This window comes from Homo sapiens, chromosome 9 (assembly GCF_000001405.40).
Source record: "Homo sapiens chromosome 9, GRCh38.p14 Primary Assembly".
NCBI classification, from domain to species: Eukaryota; Metazoa; Chordata; class Mammalia; order Primates; family Hominidae; genus Homo; species Homo sapiens.
In genome coordinates, this window is record NC_000009.12 from 75,880,255 (window position 1) to 75,897,806 (window position 17,552).

At 43.3% G+C, this 17,552-nt stretch overlaps 1 protein-coding gene across 8 annotated transcripts in view; it reads left to right on the forward strand.

The window, feature by feature from the left end:
• Positions 9,555 to 17,552, forward strand: part of PCSK5 (proprotein convertase subtilisin/kexin type 5) — a 473,167-nt gene continuing 465,169 nt past the window's right edge. For 7 of the 8 annotated variants that reach the window (NR_120409.2, NM_001372043.1, XM_011518769.4 and 4 more), the window contains exon 1: positions 10,419 to 11,119. Coding sequence is in view for 6 of the 8 variants with exons in the window: in NM_001372043.1 (NP_001358972.1) it covers positions 10,928 to 11,119 (192 nt within the window). In the remaining 2 variants the exon portion in view is untranslated. Of the gene's footprint in view, positions 10,025 to 10,418; positions 11,120 to 17,552 lie in introns of those variants that run through there. The other variant, XM_047423454.1, reaches the window with a different exon arrangement.

Below are 17,552 nucleotides of genomic sequence, written 5' to 3' on the forward strand. Positions count from 1 at the left end.
TGGTGAAACCCGTTGCTACTGAAAATACAAAAATTAGCTGGGCATGGTGGTGTGTACCTGTAATCCCAGCTACTCAGGAGGCTGAGGCAGGAGAATCGTTCCAACCTGGGAGGCGGAGATCGCAGTGAACAAAGATCATGCCACTGCACTCCAGCCTGAGTGACAGAGTGAAATTCCGTCTCAAAAAAAAAAAAAAAAAAAAAAAAAGTACGTATTTTCAGGGGCTTATCTTTGCAGAGACTTTGTTGTAACTCTGGAATGGTGGAATAGTACAAATATAGGCTTCAGAAAACTTGAGTTCCAGTTCAAGCCCCATCACTCACTACTGGTGTGCAGCTGAACGAATCATTTCACTGTCGACTTCTCATATTTGTAACCTGATATTGATAGCTATGACAGTGTTAAAATAATCACAATGTCTCTACTTATTTGGCATGTCACTGTGAGAAGTAAATATGATGAAAAGCTGAAAGTATTTTGTAAAGTCTATATAAATGCTGTATCAGTGCTCTGTCAGTGTTAGTCATCAAGATCACTCTGGGTCATTATTTAACCAATCAGTGTGACAGGGTTTACTTTCGCCCTTCCTATGCAGATTCATCAATTTCCTCTTTTCATTTGATCCAGATGTTTTCAGGGAAATTTACTTTGAATTTGTAGAAAGGAAAAGGCCTGTTCCCACCCAGACTCCATTTAGCAGAGAGTTTATCATTAAACATGCAGAGAACATGACTAACACAGGAGAATTGCTGCATTCTAGGCCCAATGTAAGTAAAAGAGCTATTGGATAATAGAATATTGATCAGATAATTTGTTTCAGAGTCATTAGTTTCCACACGTAGCTGAACCACTTCTGGAACCTCACATCTCTCAAATCATGAGAATCAATCTGCTAAACCCGGAGCTCCCCACACATACACTTGAGCAGAAAAAGTGTTTTCTAAAGTGTCCAGGGTATTAAATATAAAATCAATTTTTTCATTTAGCCAATGCTGTGGCCTTAAGTATATCACTGACCTTTAGGTGGTCAGCTTTTTACCTGTAAGTGTAACTTTTCTTTTCTATCAAGCATCTAGCATCTAGCTCCTTTGAGCCTAGAAGTCTCAACTACTGTCATCCCTTAAGATTTTATTTTCTAATAATTCATAGCCCAGTTTTATAGAATGTCATGGTTTTTCATTGCTGACATTTACTACAAAATTCTTTTCATTTTTTATTTTGCTGCCAAAATGTGAACATGCAAATATCCTATGAATTTGCCAACTTGTATCTGTATGGACACACAAAAAAATGTACGACAAAGACTAGAATAAGAAATGATTAATGATACTGAATATATTGCCTGTTCTTTCCACATAGCATTCAATCTATGCTCACCTTTTATAGTTCAATATGCTGCCAGATCTCAAAACAATGCTCTAATTATTTTTAAATAAATAAAGAACCGTACTAGAGAAAGATGTTCTCCTCACTCAAACCCTAACTATGAGGCACAGTATGTTCATAGAACTTGGTCTCATTTTCTCAGAGAAGGCAATATTTAGCATTCATACAACAAATGTGTGTTATAGTATTATTTAGCACTTCTGCAACATAGGCTTTCACTGTTCATATCTGGAGAAAATTGAAGAGGAGCTTGCCTTAAGTTCTCCAGTGATTTAGTAGACTTAGTTGCTGAATTTCTGGAAAAGCTAACTAAGTCATAGGATTTAAAAGGGTAGCATTTGCCAGAGTTCAAACTGGGGTCTGTGTTTTCTTTATGCAGTATCTGTTTTTGAGACATCACAGGGAACTTGTAAACACAGAGCCAGGGAAGTCTTACGCTTTTTAAATTTGAAAGCTTCTAAGCTTTCTGCTGAACTGTATTCCACCAATCTTTAGAAAAATAAAATTTTATTGATAAATTATTTCTACGTGTAGGGTAACCTTTTTGAAAATAGAACATTGCTGCCACTCTAGATACATAATACAGAAGGATATTTGCTGCTCATTGGTATAAGTTGAACCTGAACTCATTTTCTTCCAGGAAAATGATTGCAGTGAGGTCTGGCTCTGAAAAGTCTTACTGATAAACACCTTTATCATGAATTGAAAGGTTAAGAGTTACAGAAGATGTCTGGTTTTTTATTTTTATTTTTGGTGTGTGTGTGTGTGTGTGTGTGTGTGTGTGTGTGTTTTCACATACAGACCATCCCTGACTTACAATGGTTTGACTCATGGTTTTTTGACTTTACGAGTGTGTGAAACCATCATAATTTTGAGGCAACGTACAGTATTCAACATGTTCCATGAGATATTCTCTACTTTATTATAAAATAGGCTTTGTGTTAGATGATTATGTTCAACTGTAGACTAATGTTAGTGTTCTGATCAGATTTAAGGTAGGCTAGACTAAGCCATGATATTTTAAAGTTTAGGGGTATTAAATGCAGTTGTGATTTATGGTATTTTCAACTTACAATGGGTTTATTGGGATGTAAACCCATCATAAATTGGGGATCATCTGTATTACTAAAATCTGAAGCAGGGGCAGGGAAGATTGGTAGAGAGATGCCTAAACAATAGCTGCACAATGGCCGTGTAATAACTACATTTTGAATACACCATCGGAAGAATGAAGTTATGTCACACACAGGACGCAGTAGGTGATCTAGACACATAGCTTCTGGAAACAATGGAATGTAATAAATGAAAGGATGTGCTTACACAGGGTATTTTCAAAATAATTTTATTATAATTTATCTTGCTTCATATTGACAAGTAAAATCATACTGAATATGTTTTGATTTAGAAAGCCTCATTGGGAATCAATGAATTAGATCTAGTCCTTGGAATCAAAAAAGTTTTTTTTGTTGTTGTTGTCGTTTTGGGATGGAGTCTCGCCCTGTCACCTAGGCTGGAGTGCAGTGGAGCAATCTTGGCTCACTGCAACCTCCGCCTCTGGGTTCAAGTGATTCTTGTGCCTCAGCCTCCCGAGTAGCTGGGACTACAGGTATATGCCACCATGCCTGGCTAATTTTTGTATTTTTAGTAGAGATGGGGTTTCACCACATTGGCCAGGCTGGTCTCAAACTCCTGACCGTAGGTGATCCGCCCACCTCGGCCTCCCAAAGTGCTGGAATTACAGGCGTAAGCCACCACGCCTGACCTCAAAAAAGATTTTAATTATGAAAACCCATTTAGCTTTGTCTTCCTAAGTAAGATGAAGTTGCTGCATCATTACTTATTAATCGCCTGATTCCTTGAGGGGATCTTAAGAATACAAGAGCCAATAAAATGTTTGGAGAAAAGGGTCCAAAGACATTACAAAAAGAGCAAGCCTTGACTCTTGGGGATAGGCTGCTGCCATTGGCATAGCACCCATTCTTTTTAGTGGGTGAAGCTCAAAGACTCAAGCCTATTCCTTTGATTTCTGCCATCCTTTCCCTACCTGCTATCTTTCTGAACTAAAGTCCAAGGTGGACCAGGGGTAGGAAGGGAACCACTTTCATTCATCATATCCATCTTGAAGAAGACACTGATCTGGGACTGGAAGTAGAAGCTAGAAGGTAAGAGACAGTTGGTGTGTCACTTCCTTCCTATATATCTAAAGGAAATCACCTACAACCTTCACACTTCAGTTTTAACTGAAAAGCTTTCTGGGCCAGGTGTGGTGGCTCACACCTGTAATCCTAGCACTATGGGAGGCTGAGGCGGGCGTATCACCTGAGGTCAAGAGTTCAAGACCAGCCTGGACAACATGGTGAAATCCTGTCTCTACTAAAAGACAAAAATTAGCCAGGTATGATGGCGGGTGCCTGTAATCCCAGCTACTTGGGAGGCTGAGACATGAGAATCGCTTGAACCCGGGAGATGGTGGTTGTGGTGAGCCGAGATTGCGCCACTGCACTCTAGCCTGGGTAGCTGAGCGAGACTCCATTTCAAAAGAAAAGAAAAGAAAAGCTTTTTGGGAACCAGTTTGTTATTTTAGGATTTAAATGTCCACAAAGGGAAGCCAACTGTGTCAAATTAAGCCAACTTCAAACAGGTCAAAGAAGGAGCTAAAGTTTCTTGAAACTGATAGACTGTTACTCACTTATTAGTGTCCCATTTTATCAATATTATACAATACTTTAAATGTAGTACCAAACCCTGAATCAACTCTTGTCCTAGAAGCTCGTGTGTCATGGATCATGGTTTTAAGTGGTAGTGGTTAAACATCTAAAGAATTGAAATGTTAAATCAAGTTTCCATTCTCCTGACTGTATTTTATTAACTCACATAAGTAAATTGGATTACTGTTAATCCTTGTTTCATAGCACACAGTCATCTTTGATCCATGTAGCTCTTCCTTTGTTTTATTTGTTCATGTATTTGTTAAGTTACTTTTCCCTGATAGGATTACTGACCTCCAAATTGACTTTCTATTGGCCTCAGTATTTTTATCTATTAAACAAGGAAGTTAGATTATATGATATATTTGGTCTCTTTCTGCTTTGATGCTCTATGAATAACATTAAGACCTGTTTGGCCCAGAGTCTGGCATATAATTAGTGCTTAATAAGTGGTAGTTAATACTTTACAGTAGACCTTTAAACAATGCAGGGGCTAGGGGTACCCTCACTCCCTGAAGTTGAAAATCTTCTATGACTTTTGATGTTCCCAAAACTTAACTAATAGCCTACTGTTGACTGGAAGCCTTACAGTTGATTAACACATATTTTGTATGTTTCTTGGCTTCTTTTTCTGTGTGTGAGAGGGTGTTGCTCTGTGGCACAGACTGGAGTGCAATGGTATGATCATGGCTCAGTGCAGCCTTGAACTCCTGGCCTCAAGCGGTCATCCCACCTCAGCCTCCAGAGTAGCTGGGACTACAAATGCATGACAATTTGCCTGGCTAATTTTTTATCTTTTGTAGAGACTGGGTCACACTATGTTGCATAGGCTGTTCTCTAACTCCTGGGCTCAAGCAATCCACTCACCTCGGCCTCCCGAAGTGCTGGGATTACAGGCACTGATCACACCTGGCCTATCTTGAGCCTTTTTTTAAAGCCAAAACTCTAAAATTATCAAACCATCCTGCGCCAGTATTAAATTCTCCAGCTTTAGATTCTTCAGCTTCCTTTTGCTTGAAGTTGTTATATAACAACTTCCCTTTTTCTTGAATCACATTAGATTCTATAGGTATGCCTTTCTTTCAGCAATCCTGCTCCCATATAAAAGCTGCACTAACAATATCAAATAAAAATACATGTTTCTCACCTGCTGGTGAGAAAAACAGTGCAAGGTTGTCTCACCTGCTGGTGTAGCTGCAGTGAAGTCTTTACTAATTTTCCTTTGTTTACAATGTTCTTACACTGGATGGATTCATTTATCTTGAAAAGGTAAGCAACTGCAGCTGCAGAACTCAATCTATGGTACATATCAAGCAATTCAACTTTTTCTCATAATGTCATGACTTTTCTCAATTCTTGGGAGCCCTTCCAGCATCACTATTAGCACTTCATATAGGTCCCATGGTGTTCAAGATTTACAGAATTGCCCTAAATAGAATGAAACATACGCAAGAACCATGAGAGATCACTTTTTGCTGTGATACACCGTTTACTGGAGAAACTAACTGCTCATGTGGAGATGATTAGTGTCATCAGATACTTGTAATACTTGAGCTCACCGCAATAGCAACAGGAGGTCGCTAAGAAATTATTACCATAGTACAATATGCATTACAATCAATTTTATGCAGTTGTAATTAATATTACATCTTTACGTTTATTTACATTTCTTTCAACTGTGAGTGGTGCTATTTATGGTCTGTAGGTGTTTGTGTGTATAAGTTTTAATACATTTTAATTTTCATAATATTTTTAATGATAAAATAGACTAGTATCTACATATATTTTATGAACTCATAACATACAACATACCTACCTAACTTTTTCTTTTTTTTTTTCTTTTTTGAGACAGAGTTTCACTCTTGTTGCCCAGGCTGGAGTTCAATGGCGTGATCTCGGCTCACCGCAACCTCTGCCTCCCGGGTTCAAGTGATTCTCTTGCCTCAGCCTCCCGAGTAGCTGGGATTACAGGCATGCACCACCATGCCCGGCTAATTTTGTATTTTTAGCAGAGATGGGGGTTTCTCCATGTTGGTCAGGCTGGTCTTGAACTCGCGACCTCGGGTGATCCGCCTGCCTAGGCCTCCCAAAGTGCTGGGATTACAGGCGTAAGCCACCACACCCGGCACTTTTTCTTAATTTTTTTCAATATATCTAAGCTACATGGTTTGTCTGAGAGTTATTTTAAATTGTGGCAATCTCCAAAAAAAGTACGATGTATTTTTTGAAGAAAATCTGCATAAATGGACCTGTGTAGTTCAAATCCAAGTTGTTCAAGGGTTAACTAGTAATTTATCATTATTAGCATTATTAAATTTTGGGAACTTTCACACCAATTCTCAATCTGATATACTAGCATACCATAGAGTTGGTAACTCTTCTAATTGGCAGTGAAATGTTCAGAGGCATTTTTTTTCTCACACTGGTCAGCTCCAAACAGCCCATTACCAATTTATTATTGATTCACAGAATCTCAGGTTATAAGAGATCTTAGAGGTTAATTTCTGGCATTGGATATAGCAGAGGAAGAAATAAGGTGTCTCATAAGGCAAACTCTTCCCAGAATAATTTCAGTTTGCAGAGTTTCAAGATGGGTCCTTATGGAGTTCTTTTTCTCTTCTTCCATTAAACTGCTTAGATTTCTTTCTGTTCATTGCATTTCAGCGAAGTTTTCTTTTAGAGATTTAAGGGACTTTGGCAGACAGGCCAAACACTAGTGGGGCCTCATTATCAAGTAATATGTTGCAAAGTATAAGGCAGCGTAAAACTGAAAACTGCCTGGTTATCTGCCATATGGCATTTTACAGAGGAAGAGTCCAGGGGCAAATCTTGCAGTTCTGTTCTTCGCATACAAAAAGAAAACACTCATGCAAGACTTGGATTTTTGCTTCTTTACAATGTTAGGAATGGTTTTCTATCAACCACTACTAGTCTATCAGTTCCTCCTTCCTTTGGCTACTGAGACATTTGTAATAGAATTGACTGTCATAACCATCAGAGCATAAGGTCATGAAATATGACAGATTCTTTGCTGTTGCTATTGGTGCTTATCTGCAAGCTTCCTTCTTGGCCAACAAGGCTCTATCCAAGGAAGCTAATGAGATCGTTAAAGTAGATCCCAAAGGAGGAAGCAGAATATGTCTATTCATCAATGGAAGTGGGACTTCTTTGATATCATTTAGGTTTAAGAATCACACTTTTTGAGAATGGACTTATAATGGAACTGTGATATAACTGCAAAAGCTATGGATAGTAAGAGGAATGAGTCTACATCCATACATTTGATTTAACAGATGAATGAGGGTTCAACTCATTTTTTAAAAAAAAAACAGGGCTAGGTTTTTCCCTTTAAAATATATATGCATTGAAATGAAAGAATATGCCCTTTGAGTAAGTTTAAATGCTGGCCCAGGGATTAGTTTACAAAGCAGAAAAGTGGTTTGCCCACTTCCTACCTCATTTTCCAATTTTCTCTCATGTTCAATGCAGTGAATGTTACATTTGTGTGTGCCAACCAGGGCATGCTCACAGAAGGAAAGAGTGCTAGTGGAAAGAAAAAGAGAAAGACACCATGGAGAAAAAAATATTAATGATCAATTTTTCCACCCCAAGAAAAAAATCTCCAGGCTCCAGAAAACCGGGTGCAGTGATTCCTCTCCATTTCATTCAGAATTTGAAGCCCAGAGACAACAAGGCTTTGAAAGAGAAGCATTTTGTGCTGCCTTTGTAGTCCTAAACAATTAACAGCTCCAGAGTCCCAGAGAGAAACCCGTACGGCATCCTTCAAACTTGTTACAAAGTACCTTATGTAGTGGCAACCCTTCTGTGGATCACGGTGAGACAGGTCCTTCCTCCTACCTGAAATGCCCACAATTCTGAATTAAAAAAAAAAAAAGAGAGATTGACTGTCCCTTATATGTGTATTGAGATGTGGACCTTGACTGAAGTCTTATCCCATCTGAAATTTACCATCTTCAAGAGGGGTAATCCAATGTCCCTATGCATAGATGCAGATTGTCAGAGTTAACAGTGTTGTAATAGATTGTGAGCTTTCGGACTCCATGGCTAGGGAAGCAGGAAGAGATGTGTCTACAGGGACTGGCTAGCAGGGAGACTGTACCAAAACTCTAAAGCACAAGCATAGTGCTTATGTTTTCCTCTTAAAAATAATAATAATAGGGCCGGGAGCGGTGGCTCACGCCTGTAATCCTAGAACTTTGGGAGGCCGAGGCGGGCGGATCACAAGGTCAGGAGATCGAGACCATCCTGGCTAACACAGTGAAACCCCGTCTCTACTGAAAATACAAAAAAATTAGCCAGGCCTGGTGGCGGGCGCCTGTAGTCCCAGCTGCTCGGGAGGCTGAGGCAGGAGAATGGCGTGAACCCGGGAGGCGGAGCTTGCGGTGAGCCGAGATCGCGCCACTGCACTCCAGCCTGGGCAACAGAGCGACACTCCGTCTCAAAAAAATAAATAAATAAATAATAATAATAATAATAATAATAATAGGACGGGCATGGTGGATCATGCCTGTAATCCCAGCACTTTGCGAGGCCAAGGCAGGCAGAGCATTTGAGATCAGGAGTTCGAGACCAGCCAACCCTGTCTCTACTAAAAATACAAAAATTAGCCAGCCTGTAATCCCAGCTACTCGGGGAGGCTGAGGCAGGAGAATCGCTTGAATCCGGGAGGCGAAGGCTGCAGTGAGCCAAGATCACACCACTGCACTCCAGCCTGGGCGACAGAGCGAGACTCTGTCTCAAAAATACATACATACATACATACATACATACATACATACATACATACATACATACCTTCAATAATAAACCACATTTACTCTACAGTATTCAGAGATTCTGAATTCCACTAATTTTTTGTGCCTCCCCCTTCCCCTTTCTCCAGTGTACAGCACAATTCATTGCACATGCTAGGTGCTCAAAACAGATGTGTTGAATCAGTCAAATAAATAAACGAATAAAATACATACACTTCTGCACATGTTTTAGTTCTTCTGATCTTCTATTTCTTCAGCTATAATGTGGGGATGATGTTATTTTGTGGGTTTGTTTTCAAGATTAAATAATATAGCATACCTTATACAATATGTAAAATGTCAAATGCTATGCTCAAAGGTACTAGTGGAATTTTAAGTCTGCAGGTATCTTTCAGATTTTAAAAAATCAGTACCAAAAGCTATAGGTGGGATGAGTTAATTAATCTCAAACACATTTAAATTAACAGGAAGAAAGAAATAGGGCATGGTAGGAGGAGAGAAAGGAGGACAGTTAGGGATATAGTGAATACTTTTAAAGTCAGTTGAATTATTTCATACGGGATAATTTTTCTTGTCACAGTAAATCACCCTGTGCCCCACCCCCGCTCCAGGAAGGCAGGGAGGTTGTAAAGGAGAAGCGAGAAGAGGGTTAATTTGAGCTCCCTCCTGCCTGCTGCAGTCACAGTGCATGATAGAGTAATGAAGGTGACGCCGCCACATATCTCATCTGAACTTCCTCTGTGGTCTTTTTCATATTAAAGTCTTTCACTGTTACAGGACTGTGCTTGGAAAAGTTGGGAAACTTTTCCCTTGGTGGAGAAAAAGAAGCCCTCGTCAGACGCAATCCAACAAATGAATGGAGTTATTTCCTTGGCCCAACATGTCCATCCACTAGCACACCAAATATTCATAGAAACATCTTTCCTCACTTCCAAGGCCGGAATTGTACTCTCCCGTGGCGTTGCCTAGTATCGCAGATTTCGAAAGTGAGCAGGCAACAGACTTGGCTTTCGAGCCAATTCTAGGAGTCGATGCGACTTACTGTCCTGTGTGGTAGCTTCTCCCGGGAGCAGAAAGTGTAAAATAAACAGCTGCTGAAAAGCATGAAGAATTAACGAAGTGAAAATCTCGAGTTATTTGTTCGGCAATTGACACGTAAGTGACCTCCTTAAATGCCTAGTTATTTAAGGACGTTTAGAACGAGGATGAATGAATCTTCAGGGCGGTTAATTCGCACCGGCGTGTAAATTTCTTTAGTCTTTCGGGAAGTGGCGGTAAATTCATACAAATCCAGCAGGGAGGGAAGAGAAGGGAGTAAAACCACGATCTCGGAGCGCTCTTCTCAGTCCTTTGGAAAGACTTGCCTTTACTGCCCGGAACCCTGGAGGTTACAGCTGGGCGAACCCGGAGGCGCTAGGACCTCGTCAGCGCCTGGCTGCGGCCGCTTTCAAGAGGGCGGAGGAGGGAGAGGAGGAGGGCGATGTGGGAAAGGAGGGGTGTTAAGGGGGGCGGGGGAAGTCATTTATGCAGAGCAGGAGCTGCTGCCATTGCCACTCAGAATCCTCGCGCGCTGCTCGGAGCCGGAGGGAGCGCTGGGAGCGAGCAAGCGAGCGTTTGGAGCCCGGGCCAGCAGAGGGGGCGCCCGGTCGCTGCCTGTACCGCTCCCGCTGGTCATCTCCGCCGCGCTCGGGGGCCCCGGGAGGAGCGAGACCGAGTCGGAGAGTCCGGGAGCCAAGCCGGGCGAAACCCAACTGCGGAGGACGCCCGCCCCACTCAGCCTCCTCCTGCGTCCGAGCCGGGGAGCATCGCCGAGCGCCCCACGGGCCGGAGAGCTGGGAGCACAGGTCCCGGCAGCCCCAGGGATGGTCTAGGAGCCGGCGTAAGGCTCGCTGCTCTGCTCCCTGCCGGGGCTAGCCGCCTCCTGCCGATCGCCCGGGGCTGCGAGCTGCGGCGGCCCGGGGCTGCTCGCCGGGCGGCGCAGGCCGGAGAAGTTAGTTGTGCGCGCCCTTAGTGCGCGGAACCAGCCAGCGAGCGAGGGAGCAGCGAGGCGCCGGGACCATGGGCTGGGGGAGCCGCTGCTGCTGCCCGGGACGTTTGGACCTGCTGTGCGTGCTGGCGCTGCTCGGGGGCTGCCTGCTCCCCGTGTGTCGGACGCGCGTCTACACCAACCACTGGGCAGTCAAAATCGCCGGGGGCTTCCCGGAGGCCAACCGTATCGCCAGCAAGTACGGATTCATCAACATAGGACAGGTAACGAACTACAGGCTAGCCCAGCCCTCGGCCCTGAAGCCACTGGGGGCTTCTTGTCCCCTCTGCGTGGAACCCCCTCCCCCTCTTCCAGATGTGCTCTAGCAGCTGTTGCCCTAACTCTTGGGCGATGCTCTGTCTCCTGCGCGCGCGCGCGTACGCACACACACACACACACACACACACACACACACCCCAGAGTTGCCGGGTCCGTGTTTTGTTTACTTGTCTTTTCCAAGCCACGCGGGACTGGTAGGGTCTCGGGAAAAATCCAGAGTGCCCCCGTGGTGGCTTCAGAGACGGCTGGACCTTTTGACCTGAAAAGTCGAGTAGCACTAGTAATCTGAGGCAGTCTCAGAGAGGGTGATCGTGGGGAGAGGGGGAAATTAGGTCTTTTGGGGGATAGGGGGTGAGCGCGCCTCTGATGCCTGCGGGGAAGGGAAAGCCTTTCCTGCTCGGACCTGAATTTAGCCCAGAAAGAAGTTTCCTCTTGGGCGAGAGAACCTCTGGCGCTGGAGACTCCGGAGGCGCGGGGACTGGAGCTGGAAGGGAGGAGAAAGGAGGGGGAGGGAAGAGGGGGCCGGCCCCGGTGTGAGTGCAGATTTAGGGGAGACCTCTAGGCTTTCTCGCCTTAAGCGAGGTCCGCGTGGGGGCTCCCGGAAGGGAGTTGTAGTGGGGAGGTGGGAAACTTCCGAAACCGGCTGGCTGGGTTCCGCTCCGGGAAAACGAGGAGTCTTACCCCGGGACGGAAGGTGCCGGGCCGGGAGGTTGCGCCGTGGGGCGAGAGTTGGGCAGGCAGCAGGGGCGCGGGGTTTTTGTGGGGTGCCGCTCTCGGGCTTTTGGCAGAGCTCTCCTGCTAGGGAGAAATGCCCATAAACTAAGGTGATGCTATGAGGATGATTGGAAGCGTAACAGATTTGGAAGTACTCCGGGTTCAGTGGTCTTGGCTTTCTGGTTCTCTTCCCCCGACACCCCTGCGAGAAATGGGGGTAGAGAGGGCTATGAAAGTGGGTCCCAGAAAGTACCCCCCTCCACATACACACCGCAAGCATCTTTGGGGTTGGCCGGAGGGGCGGGCCCTGGCTGGGCTCAGGCGAGAATCCGCTGGAATGGGAGGTGAGGATGATGGATGGCGCCTTTCCAGCAGGCGCGCTTTGGGGACTGCCCGGGGTGCACGCACCCTGCGTGCTCTGCCAGGGGGAAGGGAGAGGGAGGTGCTGGCTGGTGCCGGCGGAGTGGGAGAGTACGGACAGTTTCTGAGGCCATTGCGTTCCACGCCCAGGAACCCGGGGACACCCCCCGCCCCTCCTCCCCGCCGCCTGGGGGATGCGGCACCTGGAGAGGAGGCAGAGCTGCTGTCGCCGCGTTTAGAAGGAGCTGGGGAGTGCGGGGAGTGTTCAGAGGAGCAAGAGCACAAGATCTTGCTCTTTGCCCGCCCAGAGGGAGGACATATTCCAGAGAAGCCAGCCCTGTGGAGAACTGAGACTAGGGCAAGGGGCACGGTTTGTATTCCCTCCTGCCCCTGGAACTAAGGAAGTAAGGGAAGCCAGCCAGATTTTGTTGCTTGAGTGACTGTTATCTGCGGAAGATTTCCATTCTAAAGGCTCGTTGGGATTCTACTGGCTTCTTTTTCTCTGGAAGAAAACACTGAGTCCGTTCAGGTCTTTTTACATGAACTTAAAGTTGGGCACTGCCTATGCCCTGGGAATGGAACTGGGGAGGCTAGCACTGAAAGTAGCTAGTACTATTAATCTTTCCAGAGATTCATCTCGGGTTCTGCTAACATTGAACATCTCACACATGACCAGGCATTTTTGGAGGAATAAATTCTTGAACATACCCTTCTTTCTTAATCTCAAAACAACCTTGTTTGGTGAATATTACCTCACACACAGGAGATGAGGAAACCGAGACCAGCTAGACAGTGGCAAAGCAGTGATTCAGACCTGCTACTCTGACTGTTGCAGGCCCAGTCCCCCATGGATCCTGCCTTTTAGGGAACCCTTCCATGCCATGATGAAGGAGGAAGGAAGTAAAATCTCCATTTCCTTGAATTCTGATTTAATGGCTCAGTAGGCTGGAAGCAAATATCTGGTCTCAGTTCACAGATATTTAGTTCAAACGCACCTAGCTTTCTTGACTTTAACAAGGGCAGAAACAGCTGTTACCTTTCTGAATTAATTGAGCAGAACTGGTATATGACAGAATCTGGCATAGCGAGATGGGAGAAATTGTCACCAAATCCACTTTTGAACAAGCAAACATTGCAATGTCCTGCAACCTCTGCTTGACTATTTACAAAAGGCCTTATAGTGAAGATTCATGGCTTCTCATTAAAAATAATAATGCTAAGAAAGTTTACATACAAATAACACCAAGGATGATTTATTGTGGTTTTACAGCGCCAATGAGGAAATTTAGTGCTTATAGAGGTTACAGAGGACCCCTTGAACCAGTGTAAAAAGATCAGCTATTCTACAGTGGAGAGCATTTCCTCTGTAGATCAAAGGAGCTTAAGCCTATGCTAAGTCTTTGGGGTGGTAAATGGAGTTCACACGTGCAATATCATTGCACTGTACAGGCCAAATGTATTTCTTATTCATCCTTTACTGCTCTGACCTTTCAACACTTTAGACATCCTTTTGTTATTCTTTCCATCAGTAAACCAGCTGTGGATCAGCTGAGGGCAGTAACTAATTTGCAGATGCGTCTGGAATGTTCTGTTTTTTACCCATTTGGGCTTGGGGTCTCATCTTACGTGTTGCAAATTGGAACTGAAACTTGTTATTATTTCTGCAGTCATTTACTATCCTGGTAGTATTTTTTATATCTTCGGTATGATATTCTAGGTGAGTAAGGTAGTAAATTTTCACCACAGTAAAGGTATAGTTTTGACCATTTGCTCAGAATATCAATGTAATGTTTTGTGTAGCATCTTAGCATTTGAAAGTCACGAGAGGTAAGATTTCTGGCCAGGGCATTTCTATGGAAAATAATAGCTGTGCCTCTTCTGTTAAAAAAAAGATGGGATGTGCAGAGTAACACAAGAAGAAAGCAAACAAACAAGCAAAAAGGACGTGCTTGATTTCCAGAAGGGAACATAAATGAAGGTTTTCTTGCCTTTGTTCATAGAGCTAGCATATGTTTTCACAAAATGTTTATATTTTGTGAATGGTTGTGCCTTGAAATCCTGCAATAATAATACTTAACCATAATCATTGTTAGTTGTTGTCATGTTAGCATATATTATCTTTTGGTTGGTATCGGAGTCAGCTGCAGAATGCCCTGCTTTTCTTCCCTACAAGTTCTGACTACCAGCCCTCTTAGTATCTAGTGGAACCAGCACCTTCTGAGCTGGCCGAGGGTAGGAGGTGTGCATGCCTATTGACCTGCACGGGAATAGAGGGAGAAGCCTTTGTCCTCCCTCACTAATCATGTGCTCTGACCCTTTGAGCTAACAATCTACTGGTTAGGCAATTGAAATGATATAAAGGAATAAGACCTGACATGTTGTTAATTGTGGACCTCCATTTAGAGTAAATCTACAAAGAAGAATTAATGTCTGGTTATTTGAATTCAGGGAGAAGATCCCTTGTGAACAAACAGATTGTTTACAATGTGCAATAGCTGTATTTATCCTTCTGTGAGTTGCTTATAATCCTTGATTCCAGCCTGAGATTACCAGTAGCAAAGCCCCTTCCCCAAACCACATAACAATTTGAATAACACCTCTGAAGGATAAAACTAAATGCAAGCCATACTGGAAAAATATTTTACCTAGAGCCCCCCCATTGACAGCATGTGGACTTGGAAACTCTGGAGAGGCCACTTTCGAGGCTGTGAAAGCAGGAAAGTCACTGAACTTAATGGAGCCTCTGTTCCTTCATCTGTAAAATGATAAATCTCTAGATAATAGAGTGAGTTAACTATGCATTGCTCAGCACATAGTTAGGCTTGCAGCGAAAGGTTTGTTTAATCTGAATCTGAGGAGAAAGGTCAAAATAATTGAGATCCAAAGTTTTAGATAAGGAGAAAGGAAGACATTTTAAAAATGGAGATGCGAAATGTGAAGATCAGGAAAATATATTTTTGAAGATTGAATTGTAAGAACCATATCATAGCTTTGTAGGCAGGGAAAATGATTTTCCCTTTCAGTGAGTAATTTAAAATATTAATAGTTTAAAAATAGTTTTATGTTAGATTCTAAACAATTAGGATTGATTTCCCATGGCAGGGCCCTCTTCCCTCATTCATCCTAGTCATAGGCCATGAAATGTTACAGGATAAGCATACTGCGGATGGACAAAAGGGAGGAAAAATAACCTGAAAAATTTTGTTAAATCATATTCGCATTTACATTTTATTTTTTATTCTGAGTGTAGTTTGTATGAGTAAAGCTAGAAGAAGCATTTTCCAAGTAGGTAGGAAGAGATACATTCGCAGGGAGAACTTTGTTCAGAGATGTCCTGAACACCTCCCACCCTGCTGATTAATTTTGAGCTGTGGATATTATAGGACGCTTGAAATGTTGATTCACATGGGCAGTGAATTCTGGGTGCTTATGGATAGTCCTGGAAATAGGGGATGTGGTTAGTCTGATGGGTTGTATGGGAGTGGATTGTGCTTGCCTAATAAATTCTTAGGCATTTTATAAACAGGAGAGTTAGTTGGTGCTGTAGTCCCAGATTGGTCTCTGTGTGATATATCTGGCTTTGCACAGGGCAACTCTTCATGCTCAAGATCCTCAGCCCTGACCCCTGCTAGCCACTCTCATATGCATATTTCTTATGATGAGGCAAATGAAGGGATAGTAGGGGAACCTTTGCTGGAAAAAACAATTCAGAGTGCATGGTCTGGTGATGGCGTGTCTGCTGCATTAACCTCATAGATAAGGAATGGTTTGTATGTGGTCATTGGGGATTTCGGGGTCTATTTGAAGTGAAAAACTGCATTTTTGTGAGCCTAAAGGCAGCTGACTTTGCCTTATCACTGTCTTTCATGGGCTTACATCCAGAGGTCCTAACCTTAAAGGTCAGCCAGAGAAACAGGGTAGTACAGTGAGAAAATTTTCAGCAATGTCTGACTCTTTGGCTGAGAGAGGGAGTCCTGACCCAGAAATATCCCCTGGGCAGGGAGGGATATTTTTGTTGTCGGTTCAAGTTATGTGAAGCAGTGTCTGGTTTTTACCAAGGCTGAAGTATCTCCAGGCATTGCTCTGCATTGGGACTTTTTTATTCATTTAATTCAGGTTGTGATCAATGACAGAAAAGCTGACTTTAGCTTCCTGGCTGGTAAAAATAAATGCTTATAGACATTAATGCATGCTAGAATACACACACACACACATATATACACATATACTTATATATGATATATACACAGATATGTATGTGTGTAATATATGTACATATGCACAGCATATATATGTCAATTTTTATTTTTACCAGAATAAAGTTTGCACATAGTTTAGAGTAAAATTACTCATGAGTGTTCTCACTAGTTTCAACAGATTATCCATCTCTACATCAAAGGGTACCAAGGAGGAACAATCAATACCAATAAACTCTCCAATTTGAGTTCATCCTGAGAGTAAAATTAGATCGGAAAGAAAACAAGACTAAGAGTCAGGTTTGAGTGAAATTCCAGGGTCTTTACTTTTATCAACCAACCTGACCCTCAGTTCCTCATTTTTCAGATAGGGAGCCATAATACCTACTCCATCCACCTCATAGAGTTGCTGTGAAAATCAGGTGACCTAATAGTGAAGATGAGTGTGTATTAGCTAAAATAAGGCATAGGGAGCATTATATGATCTTTAAAGACACCTAAGAGATGCACAGGCACTCAGAAGAGAATAACAACATACAGTAATTTTCCAGATTCTTGTGATTGTCCCTGGGGATATAATGGGGGCTGAAAGGAAGAGGAATAAGTGTTGTGCCTGATTCTCCCATAGGATGATGTGATAGCTACACTTTTCCCCCAAGAGCCATGGAGACAGGACAGGGGAGGGGGCAACTGACAAGAAAACCAGCCAGCTAAGGCTCCCATCTCCTGTTGGACAGCCCTTGTTTATAAGACATATACTCTATGGAGGTTGCAAGATTTTCTTTCTTTTCTTTTTTTTTTTTTTTTTTTCCCGAAACGGAGTCTTGCTTTTTGGCCCAGGCTGGAGTGCAGTGGCACAATCTCAGCTCGCTGCAACCGCTGCCTCCTAGGCACAAGTGATTCTCCTGCCTCAGCCTCCCTAGGAACTGGGATTACAGGCAAGCACCACCACACCTGGCTAATTTTTGTATTTTTAGTAGAGACGGGGTTTCACCATGTTACCAGGCTTGTCTCCAACTCCTGATCTCAAGTGATCCACCTGCCTTGGTGTTCCTAAGGGATTACAGGTGTGAGCCACTGGGACGAGGCAAGATTTTCTATTTAAAGT